The sequence below is a fragment of the Homo sapiens genome, chromosome 1 (assembly GCF_000001405.40).
Source record: "Homo sapiens chromosome 1, GRCh38.p14 Primary Assembly".
Taxonomy (NCBI): domain Eukaryota; kingdom Metazoa; phylum Chordata; class Mammalia; order Primates; family Hominidae; genus Homo; species Homo sapiens.
Window position 1 is genome coordinate 31,264,619 of NC_000001.11, and position 12,987 is coordinate 31,277,605.

General features: G+C 41.0%; 1 protein-coding gene across 1 annotated transcript in view; it reads right to left on the reverse strand.

The window, feature by feature from the left end:
- The window catches only part of SNRNP40 (small nuclear ribonucleoprotein U5 subunit 40), a 37,221-nt gene that overhangs the window by 5,051 nt on the left and 19,183 nt on the right, over nt 1–12,987 (reverse strand). Inside the window, exons 6-8 of the mRNA NM_004814.3 lie at nt 6,761–6,881; nt 4,540–4,622; nt 3,253–3,314 (exon numbers count right to left, since the gene is read on the reverse strand). Coding sequence (NP_004805.2) covers nt 3,253–3,314; nt 4,540–4,622; nt 6,761–6,881 — 266 coding nt within the window. The remainder of the gene's footprint in view (nt 1–3,252; nt 3,315–4,539; nt 4,623–6,760; nt 6,882–12,987) is intronic.

The following is a 12,987-nucleotide window of genomic DNA, read 5'->3' on the forward strand; positions in this document are numbered from 1 at the left end:
TAATTATAGCTATTGTTATTATAAGTACACTCATCATCAAAACAGAATCTCATGAAGTCAATGGGCTGAATAAATCACTCTTGGCCGAGAGACTGGTCAGCCTTCCCGTAGCCTATAGGACTATTCAGAGTTTCAAGTTTGAATATGAGGAGGTGATCTGTAAGTTATTAGTTAGTAGAAAGGAGAAGTTTGCCAAATCCAGGCCAAGCTGAAAAGGAGTTTTCTGAGGATACATTTCCCAGGCACATAAAAGACAGAATCCCAGATCTCCAAGGGTTTACACTTCAAGGTCTCACTCTTGATGGCTGCCAATTAGATGCTAAATTTAGAGGGGTTCCTTGCCCTCTCCTTACTTTGGCATGGCAACATTTGGCAGGAACCAGAAGCCTTATGTAACACAGCTGCTTCTTGACTTGGGGCCAATTGGTGAGGTGGCCTGTCAAATCTTGCCAACCCCCAGCAGGTAGAGAGGGATAGGCTTTCCTCATACCACGCTTTCACATGTGATTTTGTTTTTTTTTAAAGAGATGGGGTCTTGCTCTGTTGCCCAGGCTGGAGAGCAGTGGCATGATTGCAGCTCACTATATCCTCAAACTCCTGGGCTCATGGGGTCCTTCTGCCTCAGCCTACCAAGTAGCTGGGACTACAGGTGCACACTACTATGCCTGGCTAATTTTTTAAATATTTTTTTTATAGAGACAGGGTCCTGCCATCTTGCCCAGGCTGGTCTTGAACTCTTGGGTTCAAGCCATCCTTCCACCTCAGCCTCTCAGAGTGTTGGGATTAAAGGTGTGCACCATTGACCACATGTAAAGTTTAAAGGAACAGTGGAGAGGAAAAGAGAAAAAAAGGACATTGCAATTCAGAAAGGGCCAATGCCAGAAACAAACTGCTCATCAGAAAAAAAAAGTATGTAAATATAATTTAAAAATTTAATTACAGCTGGGTGCAGTGGTTCATGACTGTAATCCCAGCACTTTGGGAGGCCGAGGCAGGCGGATCATGAGGTCAGGAGATTGAGATCATTCTGGCTAACACGGTGAAACTCCATCTCTACTAAAAATACAAAAAACTAGCCAGGCGTGGTAGCGGGCACCTGTAGTCCCAGCTACTCGGGAGTCTGAGGCAGGAGAATGGTGTAAACCCAGGAGGTGGAGCTTGTAGTGAGCAGAGATTGCACCACTGCACTCCAGCCTGGGCGACAGAGTGAGACTACATCTCAAAAACAAACAAAAATTTAATTACAAAAGATACACTCTTTCTGCTGAAAATTATGTAAAAATACTTAGGATAGTTCTTACTATATCAGAATATGAGACACCTTAGTCTGTTTCTTGAAGTCTTCTCTAGCAACTTGATAACTTAAAATTCTTTAGATTTCCCTCTTCTAGGCAGCTCTCTAAACCACTTGCACTCAAATGATCAATGTGACACTTTCACCTGGACCCTTTCTTTTTCCTCCAGAAAATACCTGAATACTTGTCCATTTTTCTTGGCATTAAACTTGTCAGGAAAAAAAAAAGTAGACTCTGGAATTTAAATATGTTCAGAATTATTCATTAATAGAAAGGTATGGGACAGATCACAGTGCAGCTTCTGTGTGGCAGCGTTAGGGCCCCAAATAGAGGAAAACCCTGGAATATGCTGAAAGCCCTGGCTAGCCCAAGAAAGTCTTCCTATTTATAGGATGGTGCTTGTTTCAGTAGGATTGAAAGAGAAACTCTAAAGGGGAGGATAGGATTAAGCTAAAAAGGGTCAAGACACTGCCCAATGAGAGCTAAACACAGGATTTGCTGTCAGAGGGTCTTATTGTTCTTTACCAGGCCTCATTTGCAGCCCATCAGACTCGACACCTGGACATCCCTATTCAACCTCTGATTCTCCCCCAAGCACAGGTTACCACAGACATGCCAAATACAACAGCATCTGACAGAAGAATTCTCTCCCTTCTGTTTCTCATTCAGCACATAATGCCTGAGCCAGTTTAGATTCGTATTTCATAAAGCCTTAGCCGATTAATTCAGCATGGGGTGGAAAATACCTAGTTCACATTTTGTTACACCCTGCACCTAGCAATCATTGCACTTCCCACTAACCCAGACACAGCTCTGAATCATCTCCAACACAGGCAGGCATTACCAATAGCTGAGCTGCTATGCAGGGTAAAATTGGACTGCCATTCTTCAGCTAGGAATTCATTCATGTAATATAAACTAATTGGTTAGAAAAGCTCAAGCACTGACAACAGTGCCATGGGTTCACAGAAATGACTAAGATTCATTCCCTAATCTCTAGGAGAAAATAACTTAGTGGAGGTACCTCACTTTGTCTGTCTGATTGTAAGATGTAATAAATGCTACCAAAGTTTAGATGTATGAAATGGGATTACAGCACAAAGAACAATTAGTTATCTCCAAGAGGTAATAGAGAGAGGGGACCAGGGACAGTTTATGGATGTAACATAGAGGTGGTTACTAGAGAGATATAGGAGTTTAGATAATGAAGAGGGAATGTGAGAGAGAACCTAGAGGTGAGAACGCAAAAGGAGGTTAGAATATGAAAATTCCATGTGCGCAGCATTGTGGTGATGGTGGGGGAGGTGGGTATTTAATATGTGTTCAAATGAACTGAAGCATGGAATAAGAAATGTGGTGAGGGAAACTAGAGACAGATTATGAGACTGAATTTTATTCTGATGGCAAAGGGAACCCAACAGAATCAAACAAATTGTTGATCCTCTAGGTCTAAAATGTCTCCAAAGTGGGTAGAAATGATCTGTTTGTCGAACACGGTTTTGAAACCCTTCATACTGCACAGAGCTTCATCTTCAAGCACAGTCATAACTCTATGTCTGCTCTAGCTCCATATCCACGCTTTATGTATAAAACACAAGAAGACATCCTGCATAGCTATATCATTGTTTTTTTTTTGGAGATGGAGTCTCGCTCTTGCTGCCCGGGCTGGAGCAGTGCAACGGCGTGATCTCGGCTCACCGCAACCTCTGCCTCCCAGGTTCAAGTCATTCTCTTGCCTAAGCCTCCTGAGTAGCTGGGATTACAGGCATGTGCCGCCACGCCCGGCTAATTTTGTATTTTTAGTAGGGATGGGGTTTCTCCATGTTGGTCAGGCTGGTCTCGAACTGACCTCAGGTGATCTGCCCGCCTCGGCCTCCCAAAGTGCTGGGATTGCAGGCACGAGCCACCGCATCCGGCCAGCTACATCATTCTTTACTTTGCACCCACTAATCCTTACCTGTCGGCTGAGCCAGCTGCTATTTTGCTTCCATCAGGTGACCAAGAACATCTCAGAAGGTTCTATGATAAACAAGAATCCACTGAATAGTAATATACCAAACTCCTCTTTGCAAGGCTACCGAATCACTAAGAGGCTTTAAATTTCCTAACTAGAGTTTTAATTACTCTTCTCAGGAAGATGGTCTGTAATTATCTTATATTCTATGGCCCAAAACAGCATACTTTGTTATTTTACACCATATAAAAACTGTAGAAAATACTTAACTTACAGTTAATTAGATTGAACCTGGCAACAAAATTTTGTTCTACTTATAAATGGAGGCTCCCTTTGCTCCATTTATCTTGATACTCATTTTTTTTCCTATTTATCTTGAAGAAAAATACACGCAAACCCAACAAATAATAAATTTTGGGTTTTTTTTTTTTTTGAGACAGGGTCTCGCTCTCTTGTCCAAGCTGGAGTACAGTGGCACAATCATAGCTCACTGTAGTTTTGACCTCCTGGGCCCAAGTGATCCTCCCACTTCAGCCTCCCAAGCAGCTGAGACTGCAGGCACATGCCACCACACCCAGATTTTTTATCTTTTGTAGAGACAGGGTCTTACTATGTTGCCCTGGCTGGTCTCTAACTCCTGGCCTCCCACCTTGGCTTCCCAAAGTGCTGGGATTACAGCTGTGAGCCACCATGCCAGGTCTAAAAAACAAAATTTGATTTATACAGTGAAACTGAATCTCAATGAGCTCTCAAAAAAAAAAATCTCTATTAACAAATTCTCTGAGGGGAAAAGCTTCTTTCAATAGAGCTGACCTTGAAATTTGAGGCTTTGAAAAAAATTTTCTCTCTCAGAACTTGGGCCGTGGTAGTTACTGAGGGAAGAGATGTATTCTTAGGGTTCTAACACACATGGTCACGGGATGCGGAGGCAGGTAGGGAGACCATCCAGGTTACAGCTATGGGAGCTTGGGTTCCATATGGAAAACTGATTTAGGAGGGTAAAATTCCCAAGTAATTAAAAAGGCCAGGAGTCTCTTGTTGAGGCTGGTGTCAAGTCAGATGCCCTCAGTTTGAGGGCTGGCTCCATTCCTTTTGGGCTATATGACTGGCTTCTCCCCAGTCACTATTATTTCTATCCGTTTTATTTTTGGCAACAAGTTTTAATTAAGAGCAGTGTTATTGGAATGAAGTCCATTCTTAGCAGAGCTACTGCTCTCTATCCTTAGTACCACCTTAAATGTTTCTCTGAAGTAAATGAACAGTAAAACTCCTCTGCCATGCAGAACTCACCTTTTCAAAGTTGTGCACATTTCCTTGAAATATCTTTACACATCTCTCTTTGGGGGCAAATGGCCGGACATCCCAGACACGAACTGCAAAACAAATCCAAATAAACAAACCAACCAAAACAACTATCGGCCAGAGGCCTCCTGGGCACCCAGCTGAAATTAGTATCATGTCAATCAATGGCAGATGCTGTTTCCTCGGTGGGCAAAGTCCAACTTGACATACTGCTACCTGTTAAGGCTCTTTTCTTTTTCAAGCAGGAAAACACATCTAAATCCCAATAACTGGGGCTAGCTGAGGGGGCAGGAAGGAAAAATGTCACACACAATGTTGGTAATTTGCAACAGAATGCAGTTGGGTGTGATACTAATTTCAAAAAGATATTTTGCAAGATTTCTCTGCCAGCTTAGTCACATCCAGCAAAGCTTCAATGTGACAAACTAAATACCAGGAACTACTGTGACAATGAACTTATAAAAGCCAAACTTACATCGCCCTTTCCTAATTTCCCTCATATGGGCACCTGATAGTCTAAGACTGGACAAGGTCAGATATATATAAAATATATAAAAGGTCAAATAAATCAAAAAAGCACTGTACCATACCAAAAATCAGAAAAAGTAAACATTGATTCTATCTCTGTTACATATTTGGGTGATGTCAGGTAAACAGTGAGATTGTTTGTGTCTTGGTTTTTCTGTTCTGTAAAATGAAGAGAAAATTATCTGTCTTCTTTTTAAAATAATATTATTGACTGATATGATTGAGATGGAGTTTCGCTCTTGTTGCCTAGCCTGGAGTGCAGTGGCGTGATCTCGGCTCACTGCAACCTCCGCCTCCCAGATTCAAGTGATTCTCCTGCCTCAGCCTCCCAAGTAGCTGGGATTACAGGTGCCCACCACCACACCTGGCTAATTTTTGTATTTTTAGTAGAGATGGGGTTTCACCACATTGGCCAGGCTGGTCTCAAACTCCTGACCTCAGGTGATCTACCCTGCCCAGCCAATAACACTATTTTAAAGATCCAATGAGATGATATATGTGCAAAGGTTCTAAAATTTGTAGGCAACAAACAAAAATAAAGAATTTGTAATTGTATTATGCAGCCACAAGAAATTATTCTATTATTTTTTCCTTATTTTAGTATCAATCTAGGAAACCTCATTGTTCCTCATAAAGAACGCTAGAATTAGCTAGGCATGGTACTTGGGAGGCTTGCCTGGGCCCAGGAGTTTGAGACCAGCCTGGGCAACACAGCAAGATCCTGTCTTATCAAAAAAATTAAGGAAAAAATATTTTTTTAATGCTAGATTAAATGTGTATAAACATCTATTGTAAGCAGTAGCTATAGCCGTTGTAACTGAAGCTATACCTATAGTGGAATTTCAGTGATGTCATTTTATTTGAGTATGAAAAAAGTATTATCAATCCTTGGAGTCAGACAGGCATAAAAAGGCAAAGCTATGCGTGAAAGTTTGCCATTGAGAATATAGTTAAAAGGTAAAGATGTCCATTAATTCAACAAATATTTATTAAGTACCCAATGAATGTCAGGTATTGTTTTTGTTACAAAATGTCAGGGAATACATTTTAGTTCCTGACAAGCCTATAATTTTGTATACCAGGGCCATTTCCAAACTCCCTCAACATTAAGCATATAATCCAGCAAGTCACCTTACTTTTTTTCTGTAGTAACCCATCCTCCCACCCTACAACTCAAAAACAAGTAAAGAGAAAGAGCAAGAGTGTGTTCGTGTAAATCCAGAATGTTTTAATGAAGACCTCTTCCCACACCAATGCTTTCAGAGTGGGGAGGGAAGACAGACTGGCAGGAAAGAGCAGAAGAGATCATCCAAGCTTGGTGCTCTCTGAAAACGCACAAGAACTGCCTTGAATAGACTTCTAGATTCACATCTTTTTCATTAAACTCATCACCTAGAGTTTCTAATATCCTGTTGGATACACAGCATACCAGAGCTGAGATGGGTCTTAAAGGTAAAGTCCAATCTTCTTATCAATGTAGAAACTGATGCCTAGAGAGAAGAAATGCTGTGTGCAAAGTTGTTCAGGGACAAGACAGAGATCTGAGACTACAGTCCTAGATTCTTGACTATCTCACCTAAAGCTTTCCCCATTACAACACATTCTAATCGTCTGATGGAATCTGTGAGCAATCTTTGACTTTTTCCTTGGATCCTGGGAGAGATTTCCTTTCCAAAGTTACCTGTATTGTCCATTGCATTGGACAAAAGATAAGAGCCTTCAGAACTTAAACTCAGGCCAGTCACTGAATCTGCATGGCCTCTCATGGTGTAGGTTAGCTTGTTCTGGCGCAGGTCCCAGACCTGCAAAAACAGAAAGGTGCCCCCAGAAATCAAATTAATAAAAGCAGAGAAAGAGAATGACACAAGAGACAAGAGTCAATTGCCCAGAGACACTGATATTACTCTACTATAAAACACAGGATTTCTGTCAAAGAGAAAAACACCTTTTTTTAATTTTCATTTTTTTTTTGAGACAGCGTCTCACTCTGTTGCCCAGTGCAGTGGCACTATCATGGCTCGCTGTAGCCTTGACTTCCCGGGCTCAGGTGATTCTCCCATCTAAGCCTCCCCAGTAGCTGGGACTACAGGAGCATGCTACTATACCCAGCTAATTTTTCTGAAGAGACAGGTTTCACCATGTTGCCCAGGCTAGTCTTGAACTCCCGAGCTCAAGCAATCCTCCCACCTCATCCTCTCAGTATTTGGATTAACACGCATGAGCCACTATGCCTGGCCAATCTCTGTCTTTCTAAAAAGGTAGCTCAGGCTACCACGTTTGACTAGATAAATATAAACGAATGCATATCAAATGTTAAGATAAAGTTTTACACACAAAAAAATAGAATTCAGAAAGGTTATTTTCAAATCATAGCAAAGAAAAACTATTATAGAAAAAAACTAAAAATGGCTATGATTCTTAGCCATTAAAAATTATTATAAATACATAAAACGAACATGTCATTTAAAAAAGGCATTATGATTACATGTTTGTGTAACAATATGAAAAATACAGATGCTTAAAATTTTTCTTTTAATGTAACAATATGTGACAATAAATGTATATATATGTACATGTATGGATATGTACATGCACATACACTATGGAAAAGCACATTTATTAAAATAAAAATAAATTACAGGTTCACTATTGCTTGTATAGGAAACGTAAGATACAGAAAATAACCTAAACGTCAAGCAGGAAAAATAGGTGGTTTATTAAATTATGGTTCATAAGCACATTGCAAAACTGAATTCTCATACAGGAGATAGCATGACAGAGTAGAAAGAGTGGTGACTTAGGGTAAGAATAAACTGTTCCTTGCCACTTAGAGTTATGTGTCATTGGGTCACTAATTCTTTCTGGGCCTGTTTCCTGGTCTGTAAGATTAGGGATAACAATAGCTACTTCTTACGGCTGTTGTAAGGATTATAAGAATGCTTAGCATATGCCGGGCACAAGACAGGTCCTCAATAATGTGTAGCTATTGTTAAGCAGTTCCTAAAAATAACTCAGAAGACCAAATGTAAAAATATTTACATAATAAGCTATTAAGCAAAAAAGGAAAATACAAAACAGTATTTATCTTTACACAGACTACAGCTATGTAAAATAAATATTTTCAAGCTAACAGAAATAGTCTGGAAAGTCACATGGCAAAAAGAACAGTAATTTTGTTAAGGTCACTGGTATTACATAAAATACAAATTTTCCCCCAATTTTATTTCATATTGCAATGTAGTTTTTTTCTAAGTGAATAAAACTTTTGCTGTTCCTTAAATCAAGACACTTTTCCTTATCTAGAAATGAGTTAGGTGTTACACAGCAGAGCAATACATAGGGCAGACAACTCCACTTTCTCCATCAGTAACTCACTCATGTGTGGAGCCCAACACATTTTCTATACGATCATTTTTTTATATCAAGATGTTTGCTGCTTCAGTAATCAGGAAAGCCTGAAGTATCTGACATTTTGTTCAAGCTGTTGTTCCTTCTCTTCTGAGAAGGCACTGTTGAAATCTAGCTTTGTAACAACTAGGAGAGAATGCATTTTGCCAACCCCTCACAGAACTTGTGTGTTATTTCCAAACTTCCCCCTTGAGGCCTGTACACCTTGTTTGTGCAGGGCCAAAAAAGTATCCAGGATTTGCCACAAAAAAAATCTACAGCAGGGGTGGCTCACTCCTGTAATTCCAGCACTTTGGGAGGCCAAGGTGGTTGGATCACCTGAGGTCAGGAGTTCAAGACCAGCCTGGCCATGGTGAAACCCCGTCTCTACTAAAAATACAAAAAATTAGCCGGGCATGGTGGTGCACACCTGTAATCCCAGCTACTCGGGAGGCTGAGGCAGAAGAATCACTTGAACCCGGGAGGCGGAGGCTGCAGTGAGCCGAGATCACACAACTGCATTCCAGCCTGGGCAACAAGAATAAAACTCTGTCTCAAAAAAAAAAATCTACAGCAGGAATTTAAGCAAAACATTTTGCAAGTATCCTACTCAGCTGTTCAATGAAAAATCTGGGCATCTGATTAGTGGCAGGTACTGCTGGAGATTAAAAAAAGACATGGCCCTGCTCACAAGGAGTGTTCAGTATAACAAGGAAAACTTAAGACGTTTAAACAAGTAATGACAGGCCTATGCAAGGTACAGTTGCATACGGGTCAGAGGGTTTAGCTCTGGTGGAACAGAGATGAGAGTGAGAAAGGGAAGCTTTCACAGAAAATGAAGCACCTGAGCAGGGTCTGGAAGAAGGAAGTTTTTTTTTGTTTTTGTTTTTTTTTTAACTTAGACAAAGTGGAAGGGTATTTACTAGGACAAGATAATTTATGGAAGTAGAGGGGCATGAAAAACACTGCTGGATTGTAGGAGATTAGGCACCCAGAGGCAGCAGATGATGAGGTAGACAGGCAGAGGCCAGCTCATGAAAGGTTTTGAATGCCTGGCTTGCACTTTATTTCCTTCACTGGGGGGTCAAAGAAGGGTTCAAAATAGAAAAATGAGACATTCAGTTGTATATTCTGGAAAGATCCTTCTGACCCATTGATTAACTGATTGATTGAGACCGAGTCTCCCTCTGTTGCCAGGCTGGAGTGCAGTGGTGCAATCTCGGCTCACTGCAACCTCTGCCTCCCGGGTTCAAGTGATTCTCCTCCCTCAGCCTCCAGAGTAGCTGGGACTACAGGCGCGCACCACCACACCCAGCTAATTTTTGTATTTTCAGCAGAGATGGGGTTTCACCATGTTGGCCATGGCCAGGATGGTCTCGATCTCTTGACCTTGTGATCCGCCCACCTCAGCCTCCCGAAGTGCTGGGATTACAGGCTTGAGTCACCGCGCCTGGCCTGGCCTATATATTTAATAACTGAAGGGATGAGACCTCCTAAAGTGCAGGGATTACAAACATGAGCCACTACACCTGGCCTAATCTATCCTTTTAACCATTACATTAAAAAAAAAAAAAAAAAAAACCAAACTGAACTCCCATCCTAACTAGAGTTCAGGATTACAAGAAACGCCAGATTGCCAGCCAGACCATCAGGCTCTCAAGTGACACATTTTCTTCTTTCTTCATTTTCCTCTGACTCCCCAATCCTATTACCAGGTAGGAAGTTCCAAGAGATTGGTGGGAACAGCATTATCTGCTCACAAATATACACAGAATTTGTTTAACTCAGATTTTAAAAAGGGTTCCCACTCCTTATTTGTTTCTCTTTCTTAGAACAGGCAGTGCTACCTAAGATAGACTGAGAAACAAATAAAAACCAGGCTCTCTGAGGAGCATCTCCTAATATAGTGAGGCAGTATGGTGATTTGTCACACAAGGGCTCAAGACTGGTAAGCCTCTAGGTGCTTAAAAGGTGCTTGTTAATTGACTAGAGGTAACAAGACAGAGTGGCAAGACTATTAGCCCTCTAGAGATAGAGCTCTGGTCCCGTCTCTACCACTGACTGAGTGATGACTATTTGATCTTGGCCAGATCACTTAACCTCTTAGGGCCTCACTTCAGTCACCTATAAAGTGAGGGATGGAGGTGATGTCTACGGTTCTTTTCAGGTTTGACATTTCCTGAGTCTTTCTGATTGAAAAGGAGCCTCTCCTTTGCATGTTTAAAGAAATTTATGAGGTCTTTTAGGACAACTAAGAGTCTTCCTGAGTTCGAGAGAGCAATTACTCTCCCCTCTGCATGTAACAACAGGGTATTTTTTTTTCTAATCAGGACAGAGTCTCACTCTGTCATCTGGAGTGCAGTGGTGCAATCTTGGCTAGCTGCAACCTCCACCTCCCGGGTTCAAGCGATTCTCGTGCCTCAGGCTCCCAAGTAGCTGGGACTACAGGTGTGTGCCACCACGCGCAGCTAATTTTTGTATTTTTAGTAGAGACGGGGTTTTGCCACGTTGGCCAGGCTGGTCTGGAACTCCCGGCCTCAAGTGATCTGCCCGCCTTGGCCTCCCAAAGTACTAGGATAACAGGCATGAGCCACAGTGCCTGGCCATCAGCAGGGTATTTTTAATAGGGAAAAGACTACCTTCTAAGTAAATTCTAACACATATACAACTCTCTCCAGTCCATCTCTGTTATACAAGAGCAAAAATAAAGAAATAATTCTAGCAACCTGGTTTCAAACATTGTATTAACTGCTCCTGCCAGAAAACAATATGGCAGCCTGTATCCCAAATATGAAACATCCTTATACTTATTAAAACACATTAATTTTCATCTGGAAATCTATTCTAAGAAAACAAATACAGAAAAAGTTTCATGCACAAATATGTCCATAGCAGCATAATCTGTGATAATGATTCACATGAAACAGCCTAAATGTCCAATGACATGGTTGTCACTAAATTATTTAATACTGTAATAATAAAAAAATGATGATGATAATGGCAGCTGACATATATTGAACACACTATGTCCCTGCCACGGTGCTAGGAATATTATATCCTTACTTCATTTAATTAATGTAACAATTATATGAGGTGAGCTGACAATTCCCATTTAGACACAAGAAATGGAGATGAGGTTAAAACAACTTTTTTAAGATCACAAAGCTAGCAATTAATTGGCAAATTGCAAAATGATCCCAACTTCGCTTAAGCACAGGAATTCAAGGTTACAGTGAGCTATGATTCCACCACCACATTGCAGCCTGGGCAACACGAGTGAGACCTCAAAATAAAGCAAAAAAATGGAAAGGAAAATGATTCTAACTACAATTCTAAGAAAATAAGAATGATTTGATAGAGAGCAACTAGAGGTGGGCTTAGTTAAGGATATACTTTCCAGAAGAGATATCTATGCTGTGATCTGAAGATAAGAGGCAAGTCACAGCAATGCATCAAAGGTGGGGGTGGGGGATTCCTGACAAAGGAGCAGCTATGTGATAATAAGTGAAAAGAGATCATGGCTGGGCACAGTGGCTCATGCCTGTAATCCCAACACTTTGGGAGGCCAAGGAGGGAGGACTGCTTGAGGCCAGGAGTTCGAGACCAGCCTGGGCAATGTGTTGAGAACCCATTTCTAAAAAAACAAAAACGAAAACGAACCAAACTGGCCAGGCGTGGTGGCTCACTCCTGTAATCCCAGCACTTTGGGAGGCTGAGGTGGGCGGATCACCTGAGGTCAGGAGTTCTAGAACAGTCTGGTCAACATGGTGAAACCATGTCTCTACTAAAAATACAAAATATTAGTGGGACGTGGTGGCGGCTGCCTGTAATCCCAGCTACTCGGGAGGCTGAGGCAGGAGAATCACTTGAGTCCGGGAGGTGGAGGTTGCAGTGAGCTGAGATTGTGCCATTGCGCTCCAGCCTGGGCAACAAGAGTGAAACTCCGTCTCAAAAAAAAAAAATTTAGCTGGGCATAGTGGCATGTACCTATAGTCCCAGCTACTTGGGAGGCTGAGGTGAGAGAATTGCTTGAGCCCAGAAGGTCATGGCAGCAGTGAGCCATGATTGCACCACTGCACTCCAGCCTCGGCAGAGCGAGACTCTCTCTTGAAAAAAGAAAAAAAGCATCATCTAAAGAATGAATATTATAATGTTTACATACAAAACATTGTAGTACAGAAAAGACTTGAAGGAAGTACACTGTGAAATAGTAAGAGTGACTGAATTTGGATGATGAAACTACAGTGACTTATCTATTTTTATAATTCTTTTACATTTTCTGCACTTTAATATACAAAGTATCACTTTTATTACTAAATCTATTTTAATTGTAATTAATTGTTAATAATGTTATTCCCAATAAAGTTGATTTGTTAAACATATATTTGAATGCAAATTTTATATCTGCATAAAACATTTAAGGTAAATAAGCAGACAAATTAGGAAAAGTCTATACTGATTTTTTGTTTAGAAAAGAGAATACAATATATACAGTACACAAACAAGGAGACTGTCTCAGTG